General features: G+C 53.8%; 2 protein-coding genes across 3 annotated transcripts in view, besides 5 other annotated features; both read right to left on the bottom strand.

Moving 5' to 3' along the window:
• PRDM16 (PR/SET domain 16) overlaps nucleotides 1-10704 on the bottom strand; it is a 369419-nt gene that overhangs the window by 133737 nt on the left and 224978 nt on the right. The window lies entirely within an intron of this gene.
• Nucleotides 161-718: an enhancer, noted in NCBI's record as "H3K27ac-H3K4me1 hESC enhancer chr1:3220731-3221288 (GRCh37/hg19 assembly coordinates)". NCBI's record gives its function as "activates a minimal SCP1, AML or CMV promoter by ChIP-STARR-seq in primed H9 embryonic stem cells {active_cell/tissue: H9 hESC(primed)}" and the evidence as "EXISTENCE:reporter gene assay evidence [ECO:0000049][PMID:30033119]".
• Nucleotides 1368-1537: an enhancer, noted in NCBI's record as "experimental_6721 CRE fragment used in MPRA reporter constructs". NCBI's record gives its function as "activates a minimal promoter by MPRAs in K562 erythroleukemia cells, with activity observed for the non-introgressed 1:3219997 or rs12566936 variant allele {active_cell/tissue: K562}" and the evidence as "EXISTENCE:reporter gene assay evidence [ECO:0000049][PMID:34662402]".
• Nucleotide 1452: a transcriptional cis regulatory region, noted in NCBI's record as "Neanderthal adaptively introgressed variant 1:3219997 (GRCh37/hg19 assembly coordinates) or rs12566936 in the experimental_6721 CRE". NCBI's record gives its function as "modulates activity of the experimental_6721 enhancer by MPRAs in K562 erythroleukemia cells {active_cell/tissue: K562}" and the evidence as "EXISTENCE:reporter gene assay evidence [ECO:0000049][PMID:34662402]".
• Nucleotides 4380-5579: an enhancer, noted in NCBI's record as "BRD4-independent group 4 enhancer chr1:3215870-3217069 (GRCh37/hg19 assembly coordinates)". NCBI's record gives its function as "activates an origin of replication core promoter dependent on BRD2, P300/CBP, MED14 and CDK7 cofactors, and independent of BRD4, by STARR-seq in HCT116 cells {active_cell/tissue: HCT116}" and the evidence as "EXISTENCE:reporter gene assay evidence [ECO:0000049][PMID:35650434]".
• Nucleotides 7610-10704, bottom strand: part of LOC124903828 (collagen alpha-5(IV) chain-like) — a 30331-nt gene continuing 27236 nt past the window's right edge. The window contains exon 2 of the mRNA XM_047436627.1: nucleotides 7610-10684. The gene's annotated coding sequence lies outside the window, so the exon portion shown is untranslated. The remainder of the gene's footprint in view (nucleotides 10685-10704) is intronic.
• Nucleotides 8487-8987: an enhancer, noted in NCBI's record as "H3K4me1 hESC enhancer chr1:3212462-3212962 (GRCh37/hg19 assembly coordinates)". NCBI's record gives its function as "activates a minimal SCP1, AML or CMV promoter by ChIP-STARR-seq in primed H9 embryonic stem cells {active_cell/tissue: H9 hESC(primed)}" and the evidence as "EXISTENCE:reporter gene assay evidence [ECO:0000049][PMID:30033119]".

The raw sequence follows: 10704 nt of genomic DNA, 5'->3' as shown, positions 1-10704 counted from the left end.
ACCTGGGAGGCCACCTCCTTGGGCTCCTCCACAACTGTGGTGCTAGGGCTGAGGAGGAGGAGGCCACAGGGGCGGCACGGTGTCCTGAGACCACCTCCTGCTGTATCTAGAGAATTCCAGAGCATTGGCCCCTGCAGGGAGCGAAGGGGACAGCGAGTGTCTGTTGGGAGCCATCAGACGTGCTCACAGAGACACCGACACTGCCCTCCCTTATTTGCGCTGTCATCAATGCACACAAAAAACCTATGTGGGGACATAAAGCAATGCACTCCAGGCCGTGCTCCTCGTGTGGACATGCAGTTGAGGCCAGTGGCTCCGTGACACCAACAACGCAATGTGCTCCAGGCTGTGCTCCTCGTGTGGACAGGCAGCTGAGGGCAGTAGCTCCGTGACGCCAAGGATGCAATGCAGGCTTTCATTGTTCGTATAAAACGGGGCAGGCATTTGTCTGAGGCTGCAAATGTGGTTTCAGCGAATAGAGATCACTTGTTAAGGGAAAGCTGACTGGAAGATTGCCTTCTATTCTCCCCACTCTCTCAGAGGCAGCGTTGCTCACACAGATATGACCAACCAGGACTGCAGGGCTTGGCTGGGGTCCTGTGTCACTGTCCCCAAGGATTAAAGAGCCCACAGCCTCCTGCGCTCCCCAGCACATCCCTCAGAAGGCACACCAGGGCTTGGCTGGGGTCCCGTGTCACTGTTCCCAAGGATTAAAGAGCCCACGGCCTCCTGCGCTCCCCAGCACATCCCTCAGAAGGCACACCAGGGCTTGGCTGGGGTCCTGTGTCACTGTCCCCAAGGATTAAAGAGCCCACAGCCTCCTGCACTCCCCAGCATGCACACCAGGGCTTGGCTGGGGTCCCATGTCACTGTCCCCAAGGATTAAAGAGCCCATGGCCTCCTGCGCTCCCCAGCACATCCCTCAGAAGGCACACCAGGGCTTGGCTGGGGTCCTGTGTCACTGTCCCCAAGGATTAAAGAGCCCACAGCCTCCTGCACTCCCCAGCATGCACACCAGGGCTTGGCTGGGGTCTCATGTCACTGTCCCCAAGGATTAAAGAGCCCACGGCCTCCTGCGCTCCCCAGCACATCCCTCAGAAGGCACAGAGTCCCAGTGAGATGCACCGCACCCCACAGGATGGCTGCGGTCCGAAAGACAGGCGGGCGTCTGCAAGGATGTGGGGAAGTTAGGACCCTCACACTACTGGTGGGAATGTGAACCGGTGCAGCCGCCATGGAGAACAGTCTGACAGTTCCTCAAAAAGTTAAACAAAGCCATTGGATGACCTGGTAATGCCATTCCTAAGAATACGGCCAAGAGTAATGAAGATGTCTCTCGACACAAACACTTGTCTTGGGACGGTCACCACGGCACTCTTCCCAACGGCGAAAGGCAACCAAATGTCCATTAGTGGACATTTGGACGCAGACAGAAAATGTGGGTTTCATGCAATGGAATATTATTGGGCCATAAAAAGGAGTGGGAGACTGACGCGTGTTCACCGTGGCAAAACCTCAGAAACCCTATGCTGAGCAGAGAAGCCAGGTCCTGAGGATGGCACATTGTATAGTCCCACTTACAGGAAATGTCTGGAAGAGGCAAATCCACAGAGACAGAGAGGACATTCATGATTACCAGGGGCTGGGGGGAGAGGAGAAACTGGGAGGGGCTGCTAATGGTCAGAGGTTTCTTTCTGGGGGGATGGAAATGCTCTAAGATTAGACAGTGGTGTGGTGTGCCACTCTGTGACCAAAAACTAACACTTCCAAAGGGAAAATTATATGGTATGTGAATTACGTCTCAGTAAAACTGACATATATGTATTATAAAGCTGATATATATAAGTGTATATATCAATAAAACTGATATATATTATATAGGTTTTTATTTATACAGTTGAGCCTCATTATACCCAGATTTTATATTCCTGAATTTGCCTACTTGCTAAGATGTCTTTGTGACCCCCAAATCAATACATGAAGTGCACCCAAGGCCATTCCTGGACTTGCACCGAGGGGTGAAGGACCCGGGTTGTCTGGCATGTGTGCTCCCAGCTGGGGTCTTCTCCACCCTCTTGTCTCAGCTCTCGCACTGTGACCAGGTGTTCTTTCTAGTCTACTTAGTGCCATGTTTTCCACGTTTGGTTTTTTTGTGGCCGATTTCACTGTTTAAAATGGCCCCACGCACAGTGCTAAAGTGTTGTCTGCAGTTCCCAGGCACAGAGAGGCTGCAAGGTGCCTGATGTAGAATTACATGTCTTAGGGCAGCTTGGTTCAGGCTGAGTTACAGTGAGGATGGCTCGACAATGTATCCAGGCACACCTCATTTCATTGAGCTTCTCTTTACTGTGCTTTGCAATATTGCATTTTTTTTTTAACAAATGGATACTTTGTGGCAACAATGGATACTTTGGGGCAACCCTGAATCCAACAAGTCTACTGGTGCCATTCTTCTAACAGCAGGTGCTTACTGCATGCCACCGTCACCTTTTTTTTGGCAACAAAGTACTTGTAAATTAAAGTATCTACACTGTTTTTAGGCACCATATATTGCACACTGCACATACTACGGTATGGTAGACCAAAACATTTGCGTCACTGGCTTTGTTGCAATATTTACTTCATTGTGATGATCTGGAACCAACCCCGGGAAATCTCGGAGACGCCTGTGTTAGATAAGGGGTTTCTAAGCAGAACCACATGTAGAATAAGGTTGTTTATTGACCAGTAGATGAAAATGTGACCAGAAGCTTGCAGGAACCTAACACAGTATCTCTCCTAGGAGCAACAGTTTAGGACCTGCTAATTCAGCATTCCTGGCAACTGCATAGAAGAGAACTGCAGCTGAGCATAATGAGAATGAACCGTCTACTTATATCAACAGAACAAACTGCACTCTCATGTAGCCAAAAGGCCCTCCAAATTCTGCTGGAGCTAAGTCAGCAGTCCCCCGGTGACCAACACGCGCCAGATGGATTTCCACGGGAAGGGCCTCAAACAGGGGGCGTCAGGAGATACTTCCACAGAATCCAATGGCTGGGAGCTCCTCTGGAGGCCTGGAGCACACAGGAAAACACAGAATGTGGCTCAGGTGTGGTGTGTGCCCCTGTGTGCCTGGGTACACCCTGGATGTCTGGGCCAGCTTGGGACAGTGGCTTTGCTTGGGGTTAGTAACAAGCCAACAGACACAGAGCAAAATCCAGTTTTCTGGCCAGACCTTCTCTATCCCCTGTCCTGCCCACCGGACGTTTTTCGAGCCCTGGACACAGTCTGTAGTTGGGTCTTACAGAGCCCTTGCTAAAGGAAGCTGGGCTCCGCCAGAGGTGTCAGCCTCAGCACTGGGTCACCGAGACGTCTTCTTTTAAAAATACAAAGACAACCAAGGGTTTAATAAAGGAGTCACTTAAAATGACCAAATCTAACATCCCCTTTTCTCTAAAGCACATATCCCCAACTACAAATGCATTTATTGGCTTTTCATTTATTCATTTGTTTGGCAAGCTTTCTTTTCCTCCTTCCTTCCTTTTTTTTTTTCTTTTTTTTTTTTTTTTTGAGATGGGATCTTGCTCTGTTGCCCAGGCTGGAGGGCAGTGGTGCAATATCACAGCTCACTGCAGCCTTGACCTCCAGAACTCAAGCAATCCTCCAACCTCAGCCTCCTGAGTAGCTAGGACTACAGGTACATGCCATCACATCCAGCTAATTTTTAATTTTTTTGTAGAGACAGGGTCTTGCTAGGTTTCCCAGGTGGGTCTCAAACTCCTGGACTCAAGCAATCTGCCCTCTTTATCCTCCCAAAGTGTTGGGATTACAGGTATGAGCCACTGTGCCCGGCCCAAACATTTCTTGAACCTCACTTCATGTCAGGTTTGGTGGGGTCAAGGAGTGCAGCCTTGCACTTGACAAGCTCCCTTGGTGGAGACGAGAAAACGGGGACTGCCTTCCAGGTGATAAGTGCCAAAAGCAAACAGATAACACCACAGCGAGGGTGATAGCAAGTCTTCATTCGTGGTGCTGAAGGACAAAAGTCTGGGTCTGGGATCTAAGCGGTTGAAGGAAGATATTTCCATACACGGTTGCTCAGCTCTTGCTCAATGGGTAGAGTAACTGACTTCACACACATAAATGGGGTTCGGGGGGATGGTACAAGGTGGAAAAGACAAATAATAACAAAGAGAAATGAAAGGAAATGCTAACAATGATGCGTGGATCTTGGTAGAGTCAGACACCGGCAGAATCCATTTTCCCTGGCACAAACGCACCCCAGTTGCACCGCGGTTCCGAGGCTCCAGGGAACGAAGAATTGCTGGAGGAGGAGATGTGCTCCTGAGGCTGGAAAACCATGACTGGGATCGGAAACATCACGGCCACAGCACATCATCTTCAACCAGGGCAGAGCCACCACGACTGGGATTGGAAACATCACGGCCACAGCATAGCATCTTCAACAAGGGCAGAGTCACCACGACTGGGATCTGAAACATCACAGCCACAGCATAGCATCTTCAACCAGGGCAGAGTCACCACGACTGGGATCGGAAACATCATGGCCACAGCATAGCATCTTCAACAAGGGCAGAGTCACCACGACTGGGATCGGAAACATCATGGCCACAGCATAGCATCTTCAACAAGGGCAGAGCCACCACGACTGGGATCGGAAACATCACTGCCACAGCATAGCATCTTCAACAAGGGCAGAGTCACCACGACTGGGATCTGAAACATCACGGCCACAGCATAGCATCTTCAACAAGGGCAGAGTCACCACGACTGGGATCTGAAACATCACAGCCACAGCATAGCATCTTCAACAAGGGCAGAGTCACCATGACTGGGATCGGAAACATCACGGCCACAGCATAGCATCTTCAACAAGGGCAGAGCCACCATGACTGGGATCTGAAACATCACGGCCACAGCATAGCATCTTCAACAAGGGCAGAGTCACCATGACTGGGATCTGAAACATCACAGCCACAGCACGGCATCTTCAACCAGGGCAGAGTCACCACGACTGGGATTGGAAACATCACGGCCACAGCATAGCATCTTCAACAAGGGCAGAGTCACCACGACTGGGATCTGAAACATCACAGCCACAGCATAGCATCTTCAACCAGGGCAGAGTCACCACGACTGGGATCGGAAACATCATGGCCACAGCATAGCATCTTCAACAAGGGCAGAGTCACCACGACTGGGATCGGAAACATCACGGCCACAGCATAGCATCTTCAACAAGGGCAGAGTCACCATGACTGGGATCTGAAACATCACAGCCACAGCACGGCATCTTCAACCAGGGCAGAGTCACCACGACTGGGATCGGAAACATCACGGCCACAGCATAGCATCTTCAACAAGGGCAGAGTCACCACGACTGGGATCTGAAACATCACAGCCACAGCATAGCATCTTCAACCAGGGCAGAGTCACCACGACTGGGATCGGAAACATCACGGCCACAGCATAGCATCTTCAACAAGGGCAGAGTCACCACAACTGGGATCTGAAACATCACAGCCACAGCATAGCATCTTCAACAAGGGCAGAGTCACCACGACTGGGATCTGAAACATCATGGCCACAGCATAGCATCTTCAACAAGGGCAGAGCCACCACGACTGGGATCTGAAACATCACGGCCACAGCACGGCATCTTCAACCAGGGCAGAGCCACCACGACTGGGATCTGAAACATCATGGCCACAGCACAGCATCTTCAACCAGGGCAGAGCCACCACGACTGGGATCGGAAACATCACGGCCACAGCACAGCATCTCCAACAAGGGCCGAGCCAGTGTCTTGAGGGAGAGGAGAGAAATGCTGTGTGCGTTTTGGTGGTAGTGCTGGTCCGAGGACAAAATTCCAGGAAGTCCATTTACGGATCCTGTAGGTCAGACCCTTCACATCCAGACAGCCCTGGCTGGACGGGAGGAGACCCAGCCTGAAGGCCAGAGCACTCTGCTGGGACCAGGCTCATCGGAGCTACGGAAGGGACTTACAGCAAAGCAAAAGTCCAAAGACAAAAGCTCTTTTTGGCCAAACGTGGTTGGAGAAGCATGAGACAGCCCCTTGGTCTACGGCCCCTTGGTCTACGACTCCTACAGCTCCAGAACTGGCATTTCTAGGAGATTCCTTTGCCCATTTCTTCACCAACCCCCAGGAACCAAGGGCCAGGCAGTGTCCTCAGACCTCAGCCACCAGAATGTTGGCACTGAACAAGCAGGAGAGTCTCTTTAGCTAAGACTGGAAGGGTGTCTGATATGAATTGGGAACCACACAACCAAGCTGCTAGCACAATTGTTGAGGACTCACAATGTGCTGTGGGGACACAAAGGCATCATCCGGGGCTGCCCTCTCCGGGCCGGGGGGTGGGGATTCAATGTAACTTAATTAAAACTAAGTAAAGTGAAAGCTTCAGTGCCTCCATCGAGCAACGAAGCTCATTTCCCAGGCTGGTGTCGGCCGTCAGAGGCACCCAGCCCTGCAGCGCTTCCCTCCTCCCGACAGCGAGGCTGCTCGAGCCTCTGCTGGTGCGTTCTGGCCTTCAAGGAGGCAGACAGGCTCTGAGTGCTCAGAACCATGGGAGTAGGTCAGGGAAGGAGAGGGGTGCAGGACTCGAACACGAGGTGCATTTGCGGAGGAAAGTGTCCCCTGCACACTCAGGGTCTCTGATCAATGCCTGACGGGAATCTACTGATTTAAGGAGTGGAAGATGCTGTCACTTACACGTATTCCCAAGCCCCAGAGGTTTGGCTCTCAGAAGCCTTCTCTAGTGCATGGCCCACACTTGGAACTTCCATCGCCCTGGTGCTGCAGAACTCTCAGCAGCTTCCTTAGTGTACCTTGGGTGACGTGCTGTTCCCTGCAGAGCCTTCCCCTGCGGAGCTTGCCATGCAGTCTGGCCCCTGCAGAGCTGGCTCCTGCGGAGCTTGCCATGCAGTCTGGCCCCTGTGGAGCTTGCCATGCAGTCTGGCCCCTGCGGAGCTTGCCATACAGTCTGGCTGTGCCTCCCTTTGGGGCTTCTATTCCCTTTTTACTCCTGGAATGTGGGACCCTGGACTTTTTTTCTTCTCTTGGTCCCTTCCTGCCATCGGGCAGCCCTTCCCTGACTCCCTCCCTGTCCCCTGTTTCCTGCCGCTCCAGACTGTGGTGTTGTGGGCAGGAGTCGGCCTGGTGCCAGCTTCATTTTGATGCCAGGAGCCTCATCCCCCTCTCTTATCCCTTCTGCCACCACCAGCTCCCTACCTGCCTGCTATAAAGCCACCCTCAGTCCTCAAAAATCCTCTCATCAGGCCGGGCGCAGTGGTTCGCACCTGCAATCCCACCGTTTTTGGAGACTGAGGTGGGTGGATCACCTGAGGTCAGGAGTTTGAGACCAGCCTAGCCAACATGGCAAAACCCCGTCTCTACTAAAGATACAAAAATTAGCCATGTGTGGTGGCTGGCACCTGAGGTCCCAGCTACTCAGGAGGCTAAGGTAGGAGAATTGCTTAAACCCAGGAGGTGGAGGTTGCAGCGAGCCAAGATCGCGCCATTGCACTCCAGCCTGGGTGACAGAGCGAGATTCTGTCAAAAAAAAAAAAAAAAAAAAAAATTCCTCTCACCAGACGTTGACCTGGATAGGGTCTCGCTGCTTCGGGTCTCACCCGAAATGGACAGAAATGCTGGTAATGTGAGTCCAAGGAGACGCCGGGACCTGGAGGGGCCACTGGGCAGAAAGCGGACAGAGGACAAGGGCTGACCGCTCCCCTTAGGGCTCCTACACCCCACGAGGTCTGAGATCTGCGCGCATTCAGTGGAAACCGCACACTGAGGGCCCACGCAGCCATTATGGTTTTTACTTTCAGTACAGTATTCAATAAATTATGTGGGACAGCCAACACTTTACCCTGAAATAGGCTTTGTGTTAGATGAGTTTGCCCAGCTGTAGGCTGATATGAGTGTCTGAGCGCGTTAAGGTGGGTGAGGCTAAGCCGTGCTGCTCGGTGGGTTTGGTGTGTGAACTGCGTTTTTGACTTAGGATATTTTCAACTCGCAGTGGGTTTATCGGGACTTGTCCCCATTCCAAGTCCAGGAACATCTGCACTTAACAATGGCACACGAGAGTTCCACGAAAAGATTCTTCTGAAAACAAATCAGCCCTCCTTCCCGGCCATATCCTTTCCTACTCAGCCCCTCTCTGCATCCAGGCTGCCCATCCTGGTCCACACACGACCCCCATGGCAACCTCTGGCATGTGCCCACCCTGCCCTCACAGGCACCCACGGCCTCCCCTGGCTTTGGGCCAGGTCCCCCTGTTGGAAGCCACTCCTGGCTCCCTCTTGGCCTCTCTCCTCTCCTGCACATCAAACAGCAACACGAGGCCCCGGGTTAGGGCTGGTGGAGCCTCTCGCCTCCTCCACTGAGTGACAGGCTCCGGAAGGCCAGGCTGTGCCCATTCCTACCTCTGCCCCCGGCCCCAGTTCCGCACAGAGTGGAGGAAGGAGAAGTGTTTGCAGGAGAATGGACGGGTTTATGTCCATTTCTGCAGCTCCCTGGCTGCCTCTCGGACCATAACGACTCTGAGCACCTCTCTAGGAGGCGAATGTGACTCTGGGTCCCTGCAGATGGGAACTGGGGCTGGACGGCAGCTCCAGAGGGCACTGGTCGTGTGCCTCACAGCCAGCAGGGACCCATTAACCAAGCCGACAGCCACTTCCCCAGGACGCTCCACCATGACCCGTACGGTTCCGGAACGTAAGGAAGTGAGACCCTCGGAGTGGATCTGAGCAGATGACCGCCCAGGCTGAGGCTTGAAAATGGCTCCAGCTGTCCTTTCGGGCAAGTCCCCAGCTTAGGATGGGAGTGCGGTTGCTGAGGCTCTTCCTCCTGCCCAGCCCCACCCAGGCCTTCTGGAACATTCCACTGCACAAGCTCTTCTGATTGGGGAGGGCAGGTCCTGTCTCAGTGGGCTTCTTGTGGGGGCAGAGGTGTCACGCCCCAGTTACCCCAGTTCTCACCATGCACAGCTTGACCCATGGCAGCCCTCCGGAGAGGCAGGAACTTCCCCACTTCACAGGGTTATTTACTCTCCCCTCAGGCTGCACGCGTGGTGTCTTCAGCCTACAGAATTCTGGAAGAATTCGGAAGAAAAAAGAGCCCATCGCCCAGAAACCCTGTCAACGGAGCTTCCCCCAGACTAAACAAAGCCCACTGTGGGCGAGCGTGGTGTGCAGGCCTCAGAGCCTGGCGGTCAAGTCTGCTGCTACCGGTGGGAGGGAGAGGAGGACGCTCGGCTCCTGAGTTACGGCCCCCGGGGAGGTGACAGTGAAGGGGCCTTTTGTTCACCCCGCACATGTGCATGGCTACCTGCACACCTGCATTGAAGGACACTCTCTTCCCAGCCCCCACACGCTGGTGCTCCTGGAGGTTTGGGCTGTAGGGGGTCCTCGAGGGATCTGGGAGGAAGTCGCACCTCCGTGAGCCCATCATGGAAGTCCCGAGGGACCAGCCGCGGTGAGGAGCCCAGAGAGCCACCCAGTCCCCTCCCAGCACTGGCACCTTCCTACCTATTCTCAGATGAGCTGCACCCTCATTTAAAGAGGGGAAAGTGAGGCCAGGAGGGGCTCACCCTGCAAGCCAGCTGTCCTGCCCGCCACCTGATGCCTTTCCTGGATACCCTGTAGCTGTAATGGCCTGGCTCCTCGTTCTGTGAGCAGGGACCTCATGCATCTCACCTCAGCAGTGCCAAGAATGTACAGACGGGCTGGCCACAACCTGGGTGCCCTGGGAGGCAGAGGTGGCTTTTAAATAACAGTTTGGGCCCACAGGCAGGAGAGCACCTCGAAGAAAGCCCAGTGGGGCTGAGGGTGCAGGGGTGAACCACCCCAGAACCTGCCATAGCCTGCCTGCAGTGACCAGGCGGGGGAAGATGTCCCTGAGACGGGGCCTGACACCGATGGCCACTTCCGTGGGGTCTACCCCTCTCCCCTGGGTCTGTGTTTCTTAAGGCACGTGGGGTTGGTTCTGGTTTGTACGTGTGATCAGAGAAAAGGGAAAATAAGAACAAAAACATTGGCCGTGCCCGTGATCAGGACCTGGGCTTGGTTTGTGTTTGATTCTTTATGAGCACTTGCCTCTGAGTCTCTCGTGGGCTTTTCTTGGAGGAGAATGGAGGTGACTTTGTCAATGCTCAACCAAACGCAGCCCAGCCCGCGAGGCCTGGGGGACAGAGGATGGCGCTGGCTGAAGGGGAGGCAGCACGGGATCCGTCGGGATCCTGTTCTAACGCGGGCTGCTCCGGGGATGTTCCTGGGGGGAGGAGGAAGGGGACACACAGGGGCCCTGGAATGGAGGGCTGTGTTGCTGATGTTGGGGCAGAGGGGCTGGACACTGACCCATGGGTTTACCTGGTGATCTGGGGGGAAGTCAGAGGCTCTTGGGGCCCCTCCCTACCTCAATCCTGTAGCCCCTTTGGAAGAGAAAACCCTGAGGTGGGGTCAGGACTGCTGGAAGTGCCTCTGAAACCACAGCTGGTGAGAAGATGGAGAGAAGGGCTCAATCTGTTTTCTCCCTGGGGAGAAGTCCGGGGGTGCCCTCCAGCCTGGATACACCCCCACTCCACAGCAATTCCTAGCCAGCAGACTCTGCCCCCAAGAGAAGCTCTTTATACCTGACAAGATTTTGCCTGTTTACCTGGTAGGCAGGTTCTAGGT

This window comes from Homo sapiens, chromosome 1 (genome assembly GCF_000001405.40).
Source record: "Homo sapiens chromosome 1, GRCh38.p14 Primary Assembly".
Classification (NCBI taxonomy): Eukaryota; Metazoa; Chordata; class Mammalia; order Primates; family Hominidae; genus Homo; species Homo sapiens.
Note: the sequence above shows the minus strand (reverse complement) of the source record. Positions and strands in the feature narration are given on the sequence as shown.